This window comes from Homo sapiens, chromosome 4 (assembly GCF_000001405.40).
Source record: "Homo sapiens chromosome 4, GRCh38.p14 Primary Assembly".
Lineage (NCBI taxonomy): Eukaryota > Metazoa > Chordata > Mammalia > Primates > Hominidae > Homo > Homo sapiens.
In genome coordinates this window covers 39,232,103-39,249,916 of record NC_000004.12, presented here as the reverse complement: position 1 = coordinate 39,249,916, position 17,814 = coordinate 39,232,103, and the positions used below count along the sequence as shown (strand labels likewise).

General features: G+C 38.9%; 1 protein-coding gene across 10 annotated transcripts in view; it reads right to left on the bottom strand.

Annotated features, from left to right (window-relative positions):
• Nucleotides 1-17,814, bottom strand: part of WDR19 (WD repeat domain 19) — a 103,282-nt gene that overhangs the window by 35,894 nt on the left and 49,574 nt on the right. For 5 of the 10 annotated variants that reach the window (XM_011513724.2, XM_011513725.3, XM_047416031.1 and 2 more), the window contains 6 exons: nucleotides 17,633-17,755; nucleotides 15,042-15,151; nucleotides 9,583-9,640; nucleotides 5,529-5,669; nucleotides 5,365-5,447; nucleotides 4,465-4,548 (listed from right to left, as the gene is read on the bottom strand). In XM_011513724.2, coding sequence (XP_011512026.1) covers nucleotides 4,465-4,548; nucleotides 5,365-5,447; nucleotides 5,529-5,669; nucleotides 9,583-9,640; nucleotides 15,042-15,151; nucleotides 17,633-17,755 — 599 coding nt within the window. Of the gene's footprint in view, nucleotides 1-4,464; nucleotides 4,549-5,364; nucleotides 5,448-5,528; nucleotides 5,670-9,582; nucleotides 9,641-15,041; nucleotides 15,152-17,608; nucleotides 17,756-17,814 lie in introns of those variants that run through there. The other 5 variants (NM_025132.4, NM_001317924.2, XM_047416030.1 and 2 more) reach the window with 2 other exon arrangements.

Here is a 17,814-nt window from a genome sequence, read left to right as displayed (position 1 = left end):
TACCTCTGGTAGAATTTGGCTGTGAATCCATCTGGTCCTGGACTTTTTTTGGTTGGTAAGCTATTAATTATTGCCTCAATTTCAGAGCCTGTTATTGGTCTATTCAGAGATTCAACTTCTTCCTGATTTAGTCTTGGGGGAGTGTATGTGTCGAGGAATTTATCCATTTCTTCTAGATTTTCTAGTTTATTTGTGTAAAGGTGTTTATAGTATTCTCTGATGGCAGTTTGTATGTCTGTGGGATCGGTGGTGATATCCCCTTTGTCATTTTTTATTGCGTCTATTTGATTCTTCTCTCTTTTGTTCTTTATTAGCCTTGCTAGTGGTCTATCAATTTTGTTGATCTTTTCAAAAAACGAGCTCCTGGATTCATTGATTTTTTGAAGGGTTTTTTGTGTCTCTATCTCCTTCAGTTCTGCTCTGATCTTAGTTATTTCTTGCCTTCTGCTAGCTTTTGAATGTGTTTGCTCTTGCTTCTCTAGTTCTTTTAATTGTGATGTTAGGGTGTCAGTTTTAGATCTTTCCTGCTTTCTCTTGTGGGCATTTAGTGCTATAAATTTCCCTCTACACACTGCTTTGAATGTGTCCCAGAGATTCTGGTATGTTGTGTCTTTGTTCTCGTTGGTTTCAAAGAACATCTTTATTTCTGCCTTCATTTCCTTATGTACCCAGTAGTCATTCAGGAGCAGGTTGTTCAGTTTCCATGTAGTTGAGCGGTTTTGAGTGAGTTTCTTAATCCTGAGTTCTAGTTTGATTGCACTGTGGTCTGAGAGACAGTTTGTTATAATTTCTGTTCTTTTACATTTGCTGAGGAGTGCTTTACTTCCAACTATGTGGTCAATTTTGGAATAGTTGCTGAAAAGAACGTATATTCTGTTGATTTGGGGTGGAGAGTTCTGTAGATGTCTATTAGGTCTGCTTGGTGCAGAGCTGAGTTCAATTCCTGGATATCCTTGTTAACTTTCTGTCTCGTTGATCTGTCTAATGTTGACAGTGGGGTGTTAAAGTCTCCCATTATTATTGTGTGGGAGTCTAAGTCTCTTTGTAGGTCAGTAAGGACTTGCTTTATGAATCTGGGTGCTCCTGTATTGGCTGCATATATATTTAGGATAGTTAGTTCTTCTTGTTGAATTGATCCCTTTACCATTATGTAATGGCCTTCTTTGTCTCTTTTGATCTTTGTTGGTTTGAAGTCTGTTTTATCCGAGACTAGGATTGCAACCCCTGCCTTTTTTTTGTTTTCCATTTTCTTGGTAGATCTTCCTCCATCCCTTTATTTTGAGCCTATGTGTGTCTCTGCACGTGAGATGGGTCTCCTGAATATAGCACACTGATGGGTCTTGACTCTTTATCCAATTTGCCAGTCTGTGCCTTTTAATTGGAACATTTAGCCCATTTATATTTAAGATTAGTATTGTTATGTGTGAATTTGATCCTGTCATTATGATGTTAGCTGGTTATTTTGCCCATTAGTTGATGCAGTTTCTTCCTAGCCTTGATGGTCTTTACAATTTGGCATGTTTTTGCAGTGGCTGGTACCGGTTCTTCCTTTCCATGTTTAGTGCTTCCTTCAGGAGCTCTTGTAGGGAAGGCCTGGTGGTGACAACATCTCTCAGCATTTGCTTGTCTGTAAAGTATTTTATTTCTCCTTCACTTATGAAGCTTAGTTTGGCTGGATATGAAATTCTGGGTTGAAAATTCTTTTCTTTAAGAATGTTGAATATTGGCCCCCACTCTCTTCTGGCTTGTAGAGTTCCTGCCAAGAGATCAGCTGTTAGTCTGAAGGGCTTCCCTTTGTGGGTAACCCAACCTTTCTCTCTGGCTGCACTTAACATTTTTTCCTTCATTTCAACTGGTGAATCTGACAATTATGTGTCTTGGAGTTGCTCTTCTCGAGGAGTATCTTTGTGGCATTCTCTGTATTTCCTGAATTTGAATGTTGGCCTGCCTTGCTAGATTGGGGAAGTTCTCCTGGATAATATCCTGCAGAGTGTTTTCCAACTTGGTTCCATTCTCCCCGTCACTTTCAGGTATACCAATTAGACGTAGATTTGGTCTTTTCACATAGTCCCATATTTCTTGGAGGCTTTGTTCGTTTCTTTTTATTCTTTTTTCTCTAAACTTCTCTTCACACTTCATTTCATTCATTTCGTCTTCCATCGCTGATACCCTTTCTTCCAGTTGATCACATCGGTTACTGAGGCTTGTGGATTCGTCGCGTAATTCTTGTGCCATGGTTTTCACTCCATCGGGTCCTTTAAGGACTTCTCTGCATTGGTTATTCTAGTTATCCATTCATTTAATTTTTTTTCAAAGTTTTTAACTTCTTTGCCATTGGTTCGAACTTCCTCCTTTAGCTTGGAGTAGTTTGATCTTCTGAAGCCTTCCTCTCTCAACTCGTCAAAGTCATTCTCTGTCCAGCTTTGTTCAGTTGCTGGTGAGGAGCTGCGTTCCTTTGGAGGAGGAGAGGCGCTCTGATTTTTAGAGTTTCCGGTTTTTCTGCTCTGTTTTTTCCCCATCTTTGTGGTTTTATCCACCTTTGGTCTTTGATGATGGTGACTTACAGATGGGTTTTTGGTGTGGATGTCCTTTCTGTTTGTTAGTTTTCCTTCTAACAGTCAGGACCCTCAGCTGCAGGTCTGTTGGAGTTTACTGAAGGTCCACTCCAGACCCTGTTTGCCTGGGTATCAGCAGTGGTGGCTGCAGAACAGTGGATATTGGTGAACCGCAAATGCTGCTGCCTGATTGTTCCTCTGGAAGTTTTGTCTCAGAGGAGTACCCAGCCCCGTGTGAGGTGTCAGTCCGCCCCTACTGGGGGGTGCCTCCCAGTTAGGCTACTCAGGGGTCAGGGACCCACTTGAGGAGGCAGTCTGCCCATTCTCAGATCTCAAGCTGCGTGCTGGGAGAACCACTCCTCTCTTCAAAGCTGTCAGACAGGGACATTTAAGTCTGCAGAGGTTATTGCTGTCTTTTGTTTGTCTGTGCCCTGCCCTCAGAGGTGGAGCCTACAGAGGCAGGCAGGCCTCCTTGAGCTGTGGTGGGCTCCACCCAGTTGGAGCTTCCTGGCCGCTTTGTTTACCTACTCAAGCCTCAGCAATGGCGGGCGCCCGTCCACCAGCCTTTCTGCTGCCTTGCAGTTTGATCTCAGACTGCTGTGCTAGCAATGAGTGAGGCTCCGTGGGTGTAGGACCCTCTGAGTCAGGTGCAGGATATAATCTCCTGGTGTGCCGTTTGATAAGCCCATTGGAAAAGCACAGTATTAGGGTGGGAGTGACCCGATTTTACGGGTGCCGTCTGTCACCCCTTTCTTTGACTAGGAAAGGGAATTCTCTGACCCCTTGTGCTTCCCGGGTGAGGCGATGCCTTGCACTGCTTCGGCTTACACACGGTGCGCTGCACCCACTGTCCTGCACCCACTGTCCAGCACTCCCCAGTGAGATGAACCCGGTACCTCAGTTGGAAATGCAGAAATCACCTGTCTTCTGCGTCGCTCATGCTGGGCGCTATAGACTGGAGCTGTTCCTATTCGGCCATCTTAGCTCCACCCCCCAAATTTTTTATTTTTAAACTTGTTATAGAGAGAGGCTCTCTCTATGTTGCCCAGGCTGTCCTCAAACTCCTGGCCTCAAGTGATCCTCTTGCCTTGGCCTCCCAAAGTGCAGGGATTGCAGGTGTGAGCCACCACGCCCAGCCCAAAAGATACATTTCTATCAGTTGTGTAATATAAGCACATTTTGACAACATGGTTATTAGTTTAAAATAAATATTTCCAAATATGACAAGTTGCCTTAATTTAATTACTATTAGTGAGGTAGAACCTTTTCATGTTTACATCAAATACAATTTCATAATTGTGTTTCCTCCTCTGGCGCTTGTGTTCTTGTCTTTAGCCCATTTTCCTATTAGTGTCTTTGAGTTTCTTGTATTAAGTAGTGGGAGATCTTTGTATGTTTAGGATATTAACTATCCATTGCTATATTTTAACTGTATTACAATAGAGTTATACATTTTTAAATACGGTTAAAATATAGCAATGGATAGTTAAGCAGCTTAAGCAAGCTTAAACAAGCAGCCATATGTGGCTTAAGCAAGCAGCTGTATGTGTGGAATTCATGTTTCTTCACTTTTCTTTTCCCCTGCATCTGTGATTTATAAAATAATAATCCTTCTTAATAAAATAACAATCACTTTATTTTCATGCCATATCAAAATTTCAACTTCCATTATAAAACCCTCAAATAAAAAGAGATAATAGTCTATATTTGAGTATGTAAAGGAAACACTTGAAGTATATGAGGTACAGGAGGATTTTAATAGTCTGGCACTTCAGGCCAACAAGGGGTAATTAAAGGTGTTTTCTGTCTTTCTCTGGTTTGCCTTTCTTACAGGGTTGCAAATATCAATGGTTAATTTGTAAAGCTTACATTACTTTAAATTGGTATAAATTTGAGAAAGTGTACAAACCTTCCATCTGCTTCCTTGGCTTTGGCATACTGCAAATGGATCTTAGGAGAAGAAACGTGGGGCAGAAGATCACCAACTTTTGCCCTGGAAAGGTAGGTCCAGGAGAACAGTATGAGTACTGTGTTCACTCCAAAAGTAGCCTGCTATAACCAAATGTTAGGTTTTAGGATTCAAAAACCAGTTATTACTATCTTTCAAAAATCTTGGCTCCTGGCGGGGTGCAGTGGCCTGTAATCCCAGAACTTTGGAAGGCTGAGGCGGGCAGATCACCTGAGGTCAGGAGTTCAAGACCAGCCTGGCCAACATGGTGAAACCCCACCTCTACTAGAAAAAAAAAAAATACAAAAATTAGCCAGGCATTGTGGCAGCATGCCTGTAATCCCAGCTACTCAGGAGGCTGAGGCAGGAGAATTGCTAGAACCCAGGAGGTGGAGGTTGCAGTGAGCTGAGATCGTGCCAGCTGCACTTCAGCCTGAGCAACAGAGAGAGCTTCTGTCTCAAAAAAAAAAAAAAAGAAAAAAAAAAAAGAAAGAAAATCTTGGCTCCTATAGGTAAAAGCTGATTTAATTGCTTTTACTCCTAACACCCACTTCACTCCCTCCCCTAAAGGTAGGAAAATGGTTAGTCCATTAACTCTTTTAGGACAACAGGGTTTTTGTTTTTTCCTACTAATTTATCTGATTAAGGATTTCTCCACACCAAACCAGGAGAATGTGCTATTCTTTGGAAAAAGAACTATTAATATGAACTTATCTAAGGAGAACAAAAGAGATGAAGGGTAGGTCTAGATAGGGGAACAGAATGGACAGAGAGAAAGCATGGCAAGGAGGCAAGTGGGGAGACCCCAGAGGCACATTCATTTCCAATCCTGTTCAGAAACAAACCGCAGGCAGCTCTTACCAATTCTTAGAGCGGATGTAAACAGATGCTGCTTTATCGTAGTAGAGACCTTTTTCATACAGTTGGGCCGCTTCTGAAAATTGCTAAAATAAGACAGGATTATTAAAATACTAAGTTATTATGTATAAAAGACCACATGTATATTGATGCAGAGAAAAGAGGACCTTCATATTCTCCAATATGGCTCCACAGTCTCTTTTAAGGACCCTGCTGGGATGCTTGAGGGCTTGGTTAACCCCTCGACGTATGTCTCCCATTCTTATGGACATCTGGGCCACTCCAGCCAGACAAGCTTCATCATGTTCCTGCAATCACAAGGCAAACACTAACAAATCAGATTCTAGCTTAACACGATGTGTTTAAGACAGAACAATGAATTTAACTCTAAAATGAGTCCAAAGGTTATGGTTTACTTTTATCTTTTCAGGGAAGCCTCATGATTTTAAAATAACACTTGAGACTTTTTTTTTTAAAAAAACCCAGCTATTACAAAATTATATTTTGTTCTGCGAAAGCCTAGATCAACTTTATGCTTAAGACCAAATTTTTACTATCCCTCATATGTCTTTTTGGTATAAAATTTAATATAAAAAGTAATATACTGGCTATATAGCATAAATGCTATGAATAAAATTAAGAAGAAAACCATTTATCAAATTGAAGATTGCTCTATGAGGCATGATGAAACATAAAAACTTCATTTCGTTAGTAATTGTTAAATTCATTAAAGGTACCAAAGACAGCTAAAGAAACTTATCAAATAACTAATCTCTACTAGTAAGATGTAATGTCAGATTATATTTTATCTAAATCAGCATGTCTAGTAAAACTTTCTGTGATGACAGAAATGATCTGTATCTGCCCTGTCCGATATGGTAGCTACTGGGCATTTGAAATATGGCTGGTGCAACAGAGGAATTGAATTTTAAATTTTATCTAACTTTAAATAATTTAAGTAGACACATGTGGCTAGTGCTTACTGTATTTGACGGTGTAGATAAAGAATGAACTAAAATTGATGTAGCCAGACAAAGAAAATGTCAAAAACCTAAGAGATAAATGAGCAAAGGACATGACCAGACAATTCATTAAAAAATACAAGTGGAAACAAAATACAATTGGCCAATAAATAAATAAAAACACGCTCAACTTCACCAATAATCAAATATACATAAAATAAAATATATTTTTTTGCTTATAAAATTGGTAGAGATAAAACAACTGATAACATTCAGTTTTGCTGAGAATGAAGGGGACACTATCATACATGGAGTGTGTGTGAATTACTACAATTTCTTTTGAACAGCAATTTAGCCATGTCAAAAATGAAAAGTACACTTTGTGACTTATAAGAAAATATTCTTCAGAAATACTATCATAGGTAGCTAAAGATACATGTACTAGGTAGAATATTCATTGCAGTGATTTTAAAAAATGAATTTAATTTTTTAATTTTTACTTTTTAATTTTAAAAAGTTGCTGTTTTTTTAAAGAGACTGGGTCTCATTCTATTGCCTAGGCTGGAGTGCAGTGATGCAATGCTACCATACCCAGCTAATTTTTTATTTTTAAATTTGTAGAGATGGGCCGGGCGCGGTGGCTCAAGCCTATTATCCCAGCACTTTGGGAGGCTGAGGTGGGCGGATCACTTGAGGCCAGGAGTTCAAGACCAGCCTGGCTAACATGGCAAAACCCTGTCTCTACCAAATACAAAAATTAGCCAATCGTGGTGGCCCATGCCTGTAATCCCAGCTATTCAGGAGGCTGAGAGGTACGAGAATCACTTGAACCCAAGAGGTAAAGGTTGCAGTGAGCCAGGATCGCACCACTGCACTCCAGCCTGGGCGACACAGTGAAAGACTATCTCCAAAAGAAAAATAAACAAATAAATTTGTAGAGATGGGGGTCTTGCTTTGTTGTCCAGCTGGTCTTGAACTCCTGGTGTCAAGCATTCCTCCCACCTTGGCCTCCCAAAGTGCTGGTTATCACTAGCATGAGCCATTGTGTCTAGCCTGCAGTATTTTTGATGATAGAAAAAACCCCACAACTATACTTCAGTAAGGTAGTGGATACAAAAAATTATAGTACATCCAAATAATGGAATATTAGAAGCTCTTAAAAGATTAAGACTGGCTGGGTATGGTGGCTCATGCCTGTAATCGCAGTGCTTAGGGAGGCTAAGGCGGGAGGATGGCTTGAGGTCAGGAGTTTGAAGCTTCAGTAAACTACGATTATGCCACTACATTCCAGCCTGGGAAAGAAAGTGAGACAAAAATAAACATAAAAATAAAAATTTTTAATTTTATTATAAAAATAAAAAATTATCTGGGTGTGGTAGCATGTACCAGTAGTCCCAGCTAATAAGGAGGCTGGAGCAGGAGGATCACTTGAGCCCAGGAGTTTGAGGCTGCAGTGAGCTGATTCTTCCACTGCACCCCAGTGTGGGCAACAGAATGAGACCCTGTCTCAAAAATAAAAAGATTAAGACAGATTCATATGTATTGACTTGGAAAGGCCATGAAGAAAGCAAAATGCTGCTTTGCACTGAGTGAATACTCAATGATCTTTGCTGAGTGAATGGAAATGAATGATTTCATTTTTGGTAAAAAAAAAAAAAAATCCATATTACAAGTATGCTTAGAAGAGCTTCTGGAAGAAAATATATAAAATCATTAACAGTAGTTACCATTAAGGGGTGTGGATGGAGGAGAGAATATTGGACTCACTTTTCTTTCTTTCTTTCTTTTTTTTTTTTTTGAGACAGAGTTTCCCTCTTGTCGCCCAGGCTGGAGTGCAACGGTGTGATCTCAGCTCACTACAACCTCCGCTTCCCAATTCAAGTGATTCTCCTGCCTCAGCTACCCGAGTAGCTGGGATTACAGGCGTGTGCCACCACACCTGGCTAATTTTGTATTTTTATTAGAGACAGGGTTTAACCATGTTGGCCAGACTGGTCTCCTGACCTAAAGTGATCCACCGGCCTCAGCCTCCCAAAGTGCTGGGGTTACCAGCGTGAGCCACTGTGCCCGGCCCCGGACCCACTTTTTTTTTTTTTTTTTGAGATATAGTCTCACTCTGTTGCCCAGGCTGGGGTGCAATGGCGCAATCTCAGCTCACTGCAACCTCCGCCTTCTGGGTTCAAGCGATTCTCCCCACCTCAGCCTCCCAAGTAGCTGGGATTATAGGCACCCGTCATCACGGCTGGCTAATTTTTGTATTTCTAGTAGAGATGGGGTTTTGCCACATTGGCCAGGCTGGCCTGGACTCACTTTTCATGTTAACATATTTTGATGATTTTTCAAATTAGCTATCATGAGGTTGCATTACTTTTGTAATAAAAATGCTATATATAAAACAGAAAGTCAAAAGATTTTCAAGCTTCACAAGACATTACCTAACTTAAAAACAGCAATTATTATTATAAATCTTAGCTTTTTAAGCTAGAATTCTGGGATGGGAAAAAGAGGTGGCACAGTGGGTCATGCTCTCCAGGGTCATCTTAAAAGATACAGTATGAGAAAGAAACGGCAGAATGAAGTTTTACGGATTGGAAATTCACTTTCAAAATGGTTACTGAAACTTTTTTTTTTTTTTTTTGAGATGGAGTCTCGCTCTGTCGTCCAGGCTGGAGTGCAGTGGCATGATCTTGGCTCACTGCAACCTCATCCTTCCAGATTCAAGCTATTCTTCTGCCTCAGCCTCCTGAGTAGCTGGGACTACAGGCGTGCACCACCACGCCTGGCTAATTTTTGTATTTTTTTTTTTAGTAGAGATGGGGTTTCACCATATTGGCCAGGCTGGTCTTGAACTCCTGACCTTGTGATCCGCCCACCTTGGCCTCCCAAAGTGCTAGGATTACAGGTGTGAGCCACCGCGTCCAGCCTACTGAAACTTTTAAAAAGAGCAAAAGGAAAAACCTTATGAAAATCATAGCCTATAAGTAAGAAAGGATAAAAATCTTATTTCCAACTTTAATTAGACTTATATTAAGGATGTAAAACTTATCAGACTGATAAAAATATTGTCATCATCAGATTTTAAGAGCTTGAAGTGTTTTAAAAGGATTTAACTATTTCCTTGCAAGGTTGTTAGTAAACCAAAGAAAACACTCACCTGCTAGATATTAAATACAATACAAATAAGACCATGATTTTTAAAAATGAAACTGAAAACAAACCCAGACATAATTAGGCATATCTTATCTTTATCCAAGGTTACCTTATTATCACCTGTTATTCCTTTCTCATAATGAGCCAAAGCATTTACATAATCACCCCTGAAAAAAAAATAAGAGTGAATTTTAATAATTTTAATATATATTTTAGAATTTTATTTACATGTACTTTTTCCTTTTTTTTTTTTTTTTTTTTTTTTTAGAGACAGGGTCTCACTCTGTTGCCCAGGCCGGAGTGCAGTGGCACAATTACAACTCACTGTAGCCACGACCTCACTGGCTCAAGTGATCTTCCAGCCTCAGCCTCCTGAGTAGTTGAGACTATAGGCATGCGCCACCATGCCTTGCAAATTTTTAAAAGAATGTTTTGTAGAGACAAGGTCTCACTATGTTGCCAAGGCTGGTCTTGAACTCTTGGACTCAAATGATCCACCACCTCGGCCTCCCAAAGTGCTGGGATTACAGGCATGAGCCACCACTGGGGAGTAGTAGACCAATTTACAAATACAAGATTTAAAAGATAATCTTTGTCACTGAGTTGCTTAAGCTCACAAAAGATGTGGAACACTACAGATGCATTCTTTCAAAGTGCAGTCTGTCATTATGTTGCTATTTTAAAAGTAATTATTAAGCCGGGTTATGCTATACTATAAGGTACTTACTGTGTGGTATGCTAGGCATTTTGAAGAGCTACATTAATTTTTTTTTAAATTCGGGGGTACACGTGCAGGATGTGCAGCTTTGTTACATAGGTAAACATGTGCCATGGTGGTTTGCTGTACCTATCAACCCATCACCTAAGTATTAAGCCTAGCATGTATTAGCTATTTTTTCTGATAAGAAGCTACATTAATTTTATTGGCTACTTTTGGTTAATTATTTCCTTTGGGGCACTAAATGACAATCATGTGACCATAAAACACATTTTTTTTTTTTAAACCAAAGGCCCAATATTTACAAGAATATATATTGAGGGAATCTGGAGGGCTGTCAATTTATTAAAGGGTAGAAGTGGAAGAATACATTGGTGATTACAGTACTGAGGGCTCTGGTTCTTACACTGAGAAAAAGTATTAATATACATGATATAAATAATATTCCCGGGCCAGGCACGGTGGCTCACACCTGTAATCCCAGCACTTTGGGAGGCCGAGGCACACGGATCATAAGGTCAGGAGTTCAAGACCAGCCTGACCAACATGGTGAAACCCTCTCTCTACTAAAAATACAAAAATTAGCCGGGTGTGGTGGCATGCGCCTGTAATCCCAGCTACTCGGGAGGCTAAGGGCAGGAGAATTGCTTGAACCCGGGAGGCAGAGTTTGCAGTGAGCTGAAATTGCGCCACTGTACTCCAGCCTGGGTGACAGAGTGAGACTCCATCTCAAATAATAATAATAATAATAATATTCTCTTCCCATGACTGATGCTAACATGGATCTCCATATACAGAAGACTTTTATTATTTCAATTTATTTTCATTGTTTGGGATAGAATGAATCAGTGATTTGCCTGAGATACTTTTTGGGATCTATCTTCCTCTAAGAAACCATCTTCTCCAGGATAAATTAATCAGCTCTGAAATGGCATGATTTGAGATCTACCTCATCACTACTTTATCAGCTTAGGCAAGTTACTAAACCTCTCTAAGCCTCATTCACTTTCCTCATCTATTAATGTACAAGGACATTTTTGGAAAAGAAGCTGTTCTGCAGTTGAGAAATTTCTTTTGGTCAGCCTAGGACTCCATAGTCAGCAATGTTCCTAAGTGGAAATTACCAGTATGGACCTGATGACATCAACCAAGCTAGGGATTTTTCCTGAGAATAGGGAGGAGACATTCTCAGGAGATATCCCTAGCTCAGCTGATATAATCAATTGAGTTGACAGTTCCTTCCACAGGAGCCTGAGATTTTCCTTGGGCAAGCTAAATTAATACTTTGGAACTCTCACTTTATTTTTATGTTGTTTTTAGCTCACTGGATTATTTATTATTTTATTTTGAAGCTCTCATATGGAACTAACTCATTAGTTTAATCCCAGACTTTAGTAAGTTAAATCTCACCCAGACCTGATAGACTGGCCCTGCTTTGACCTAATCACTGTCTTGGATGCATAATGAAACAAGACTGTTGAAATTGAACACAGGCCTAGGGTCTTAGGTGTCAAAGTCATAGCTGGTGGCTACTCAGGTATTTGATGACAATGAACTATACCTAGGTTAGTTCCTATTATCACAAGGAAATTCCTTCAGACTATTGGGGGCTAGGGTGTGTGTACATTAGGGTCCGAAGATCTGCATACAAATATCAGTGAAAGCTTTGAGAATCGGTGGCTTCATGGTCAAGTGATGAGCAGAAAGGGTTAGAAACAACAACACAGAGGCTTTCAATTGAACTCAATTCATCTGACCATAATGAGACAAGTTTGAGAATTTGTTACAAAACTTCAATTTTCCTGAAGGAAGTGAAAATCGAAGAGTTCTGGATGGTCCGAGGGCTTACTGGGGTGTCTGTACTCTGACAGGACTTGGTGGATCATCTTTCCTTCTTAGCACAGAAGTTTTATATTCTAAGACTCAGTCATCCTCAGGATGCAGGTGGAGGGCCAGGGCAATGGGGCTCTGTCTCTTGTGTTATGTACTAAGATTCCAACGTCACTTTTTGGTATAGGCATTTATAAGGAACAGAAATGTGGCAAACTGAAATCAAGATTGGTTAAGAAGAAATAAAATCTCTATAATGTTTTTAATCTGTAGAATAGAAAATTTGAAATAAGATATCATGGTTAGAAATGAAAGAGTACTTCTTTTTTTGAGACAGGGTCTTGCTCCACTGCCTAGGCTGGTGGGTAGTGGCGTGATCACAGCTCACAGCAGCCTCAACCTTCTGGGCTCAAGTGATCCTCCCACCTCAACCTCTCTAGCAGCTGGGACTACAGTCATGTGACCCCAGGCCTGGCTAGCTTTTCTTTTTTTTTTCTTTGTAGAGACAAGTTCTCATTATGTTGCCAAGGCTGGTCTCAAACTCCTGAGCTCAAGCAGTCTTCCTCCCTTGGGCCTCTCAAAGTGCTAAGATTACAGGCATGAGTCACCGTACCTGGTCCAAAGAGTACTTTTTGACAGAATAACTCCTACAACACGAATTTATGTGTCAGTATTCTCAATGAATCCAAAGTCTCTATGACAGTAAAGTAGAATTATGTAAAAATGTTTTATAGAAAAAATCAAATGTTAGAACTATACTTTCTTTGTTTAAAGACTAATCTTTTTCCATATTTTAATATTTTTGAATGTTGGAATATATCATAATAAATGTCAAAAGAAATTGGTTGTCATTACACATACATGTACAAAATTATATTTGCAAATAAATTATTCATTTATTTTCTCTGCAGATATTTGCATTGGTAGCACCAACCATGGCTGAATGTTAACTTAAAACTGGATCCTAAATGCCTCTAAAATTACACTTCGATGCAACACTGCAATAAAAATGTATAGTCTGTCAATTAAGACTATTGACAATTAAGAGGGTCTAGCAATTAAGATCACTAGAAAATTCTAAATTTCTCAGAATAGATTATGGAATTTCCAAAGGCAAGAGAGATTTGTGACTCCTATTCATGCATCATAAAGGACTATTACTCAAGCACTCAATATCCTCCTGGGAAGAGTTTTTGGCTTGAATTGCAACAGCAATTGTCTAATTTTCATACATGTGCAACTCAAGAAAGAAAAACTGTAATAAAAAAATCATTTAGTTAAAAAAATATATGTATTTGTGAGGTGCAAGTGGAGGTCTTTGCATGCATATATTGGGTAGTGGTGAAGTCTGGACTTTAAGTGTACCCAGGTAATTTTTCAACCCTCATCCACCCTCCCACCTTTTGGAGTCTCCAGTGTCTGTTATTCCTCTCTGTATGTCCTTGTGTACCCATGGCTGAGCTCCCACTTATGAGTGAGAACATGCAGTATTTGACTTTCTGAGTTACTTCTTTTTGGCCTCCAGTTCCACCCATGTTGCTGCAAAAGACACAATTTATTCTTGTTTTATGGCTGAGTAGTATTCTATGGTGTGTGTGTCTGTGTGTGTGTGTGTGTGTATACCACATTTTCTTTCTCCAGTGCTCCACTGATGGGACACTTAGGTTGATTCTTTACCTTTGCTATTATGAATAGTGTTGCAATAAACATACGAATGCAGGTATCTTTTTGATATAATGATTTCTTTCCCTTTGGGTATACACTCAGTAGTGGTATTACTGGGTCGAATGATAGTTCTAGTTTTAGTTCTTTGAGAAATCTCCATACTGTTTTCCATAAAGGTTCTACTAATTTACATTCCTATCAACAGTATATAAGCATTCCCTTTTCTCTACATCGTTACCAACATCTATTATTTTTAGACTTTTTAATAATAGCTATTCTGACTGGTATAAGACGGTATTTCATTGTGGTTTTAATTTGCATTTTTCTGATGATTAATGATATTGAGCATTTTTTCATATTTTTGTTGGCTGCTTATATGTCTTCTTTTGAAAAATGTCTATTTATGTCCTTTGCCCAGTTTTTAATAGGTTATTTTTTTTTTCTTGTTGAGTTGTTTGAGTTCCTTGCAGATTCTGGATATTTGCTTGTTGCTGGATGCATAGTTTGCAAATATTTTTTGCCATTCTGTTGGTTGTGTTTGCTCTGTTGATTGTTTCTTTTGCTGTGCAGAAGCTTTTTAGTTTAATTAAGTCCCATTTGTCTACTTTTGTTAGAAAAAACTATAATTCTAAGCAAATAGAAAATGTAGATGAAACCTTGGTGTTTTTCACTATGGTTTGAAATTACAGAGCAAATCCTCAAAGTGTTAAAGGAGGTCAGAACCATGAACATAAGTTAGGAAAAGCAGTGTGATGCTATGCATAGTTGTTGATGGCCACATGTGATTAAAAATAATAATTAGGCTGGGCGTAGTGGCTCACGCTTATAATCCTAGCACTTTGGGAGGCTGAGCTGGGAGGATCACTTGAGCCCAGGAGACCAGCCTGGTCAAGATGGTGAGACCCTGTCTCTCTAAAAATTAAAAAAAATTTAAAAATTAGCCAGGCCTTGTGGTGCATGCCTATAGTCCCAGCTACTCAGGAAGCTGAGAAGGGAGGATCACGTGAGCACAGGAGTTCAAGGCTACAGTGAGCTATGATCATACCACAGCACTCCAGCCTGGGTAACAGAGAGAGATCCTGTCTCTATTAAAAAAAATAATAATAACATTTAGATTCTAAATGCAGAAACAGCTTAGATCCAGACTTAGATTTTGATGCTGAAAACTTAAAGTGGATAATGCATGGATAAGACATTGTTAGAAAAAACATTTTTCAGATATATAATTAATACAGTATTTTTTCTCTAAAAAAATTATTAAATCAATGGAGGGCCTTATCATTAATGGAAGTTTCGAACTGAAGATATTTGCAGTCATTAGCTACTGACTGAAATGTATAAAAACAAAGACTTACGCGAATTCAAGCTGAATAGCATATTCTTTTGATATAAAAGGTATCTGGTCTGGGGCCAAATGCTTTGCCAGTTGTAGAGCACTGTCCCAATGCTGTAAATCCCTTCTCATCTGTTAAGAAGAGAAAGACCTTAATTTCAAATGAGCAAAATTATTTTGCAAAGTTACCACAAAGAGCTAGTTTTAATAAAACTAATTACAAAACCTTTTTGTTTAAATAATGAAACTTGATCTTTACAATGATAATATATTACTATAGTATGTATTCTCAATAGGGTCTTGATAGAGCCCTGAAGGAGGCAAAAATTGATTCTTGGAGGGGCAAAAAAATCTTAGCTATTATAATGGTTTGTGGCCCTCCAAAACTCAGTCGTATCTAACAAAATCTTAGTCCTTAGTATTTAATTTTTCTCAGCAAGGAGTAATCAAATTAAATTAATGTAATCAATTAAATTAAAGTTAATTTTTATTTTTAGAAGGTAGTGATTCTAAAAAGTTGAGAACACTTTGCTATAGGAATTGGTGTGTTTTTCTTAGAAAATCTGAAGCTCTATCACAAGAGTAATAGCAAATGTAACTAAAATGTAAATATATGTTCCTGTGGTCTTTTTTCTCTGCCTGGTACATAATTCTAAATATAAACTCATCATTAATCTTTTAAAGTTCATTCCTCACTTTATTCATACTTCCTAAACAATAATAGCTAACATTTTTCAAGTGTTATTATCTGCCAGATACTGTTCTAGGGGATTAGCTTATTTATCTTTCACAACTACCCTTTTGCAATTTATTAATACTTTCTTGTATCCATTTTAGAGATCCAGAAACTGAGGCAAACAGAGGCTCCTCTGTATATAAGGTTACACAGCTGGTACATGACAGAGCTGGGCAGTAGGGCTCTGCCTCTGAACTCTTCACCTGGTTAACTCATCAGCTTTCAAAGTGAGGTTAAAGAGTAATCACCCCTCTCCATTATCAATCCATTACCTCAAATCCTTTCCAAGTCTAGCAGCACATGACAAGTGCCCACAGTTAAATGCAAAAGAGTTGAGATGATATATTTCCCCTCAGTCATCGCAGCCATATTCCTATTTCAGTGAGTACTAATCCAAGTTTTGAAAACTTCTCAGGGTGTCCCAATTATCTTAAATAATACTGTAAAATTACCTAAATTTTTCTTATAACAAAGTTAATTTAGTTCACTTAAAATTTAAAAATGAAAATTTGCTATAGAATGATTTGTAAAAGGAAAGTTGTAAAATTAATAACAAACGCTCCCAAAACAAGCTCTTTTACATAGTTGTAGAAATGCCAGTTTTAGGTGAAATAATATTAATGATTACAATAGCTAATTATGTGTCTTTACTATTGATCAGGCACTGTGCTAAAAGACCTCATTCTCATTTTTAAATCCTTACAAATATCCCGTGGGTTAGATATTATTCTTCCTACTTTAAAGAAATAGGATCTAGGGTTCAGAAAGGTTAAATAACATGTCCAAGCTTACACAGAGCTGGAATTTGAACCCAGACATGTCTGACTGTGAAGTCTATGCCCCTCATTGCTAGTCTATATTGCCAGGTTTCCCTTCTTCCCTGCCCTTGAACTAACCAGGCCCTTCATCCTGCTCTAGGCCCTCTCCTGCAATGCTCACCTCTGGGAAACCAGTGATGGTACACTAGTCCTTAGCTCACCTTTTAATACACAACAGAATTTCACACAATAAGGATAAATGTGCCTCGGTTTTCCCATCTGGAAAATAGAGAAAAAACCAATCCTATCTCATAGGATTGTTGGGAGGGTTAAATGAATTAATACATGATAAGTGCTTAGAAAAATGCCTGGCCCACATGAGCACTCAATATATGGTGATATTTTTCCTTGTATATGTTTTTGTAATTTACACAATCTGTTCTCTTTGGACACATTTAGATTTCAATTAGTAATGTTATAATACCATGCATTTTATACCTCCACAAAATGCAGAATAAACATTTTTGAATTATAATTTTAATGATTAACATTATAATTAATGAGTACTCAGGGGTTCTTAAACTGACATGTTTGAATTTTAGGAGGGGGAAGGCATATAGTGTCTGTGCTGAGAAATTTTAATTATATAGAAGGGGTGATCCTCCTTTGATATTCTTATGTTCTTTCCTTTTTTTTTTTTTTGAGACGGAGTCTCGCTCTGTCACCCAGGCTGGAGTGCAGTGGTACAATCTTGGCTCACTGCAATCTCTGCCTCCTAGGTTCAAGCAATTCTCCTGCTGGGGCAGGAGATTACAGTAGCTGGGATTACAGGCTCACTGCAACCTCCACCTCCCAGGTTCAAGCAGTTCTCCTGTCTCAGCCTCCTGAGTAGCTGGGATTACAGGCACATGCCACCACGTCCGGCTAATTTTTGTATTTTTAGCTGAGATGAGGTTTCATCATATTGGTCAGGCTGGTCTAGGACTTCTGACCTCAGGCGATCCATCCACCTTGGCCTCCCAAAGTGCTGGAATTAGAGGCGTGAGCGGCTGCACCCGGCCCCATTTTTTTTTCCCCCATTTCCCCACTGGATACCTCTTACACAATTTCCATTCTTACTTGCTGCCATACCTCCAGGGCAGCAATAGGACAGCTGGATGCAAGGTACAAGTCCTGAGCCAGGTTATAATCGTTGGTAAACATGGCAAGGTGTCCTGCCAAAAGATTGTAGTCCTCTATTCCCTACAAATAAAAGCAATTCTGATGAGAAAAAAAATGCAAGAGTTTAACTTTTTTTTTTT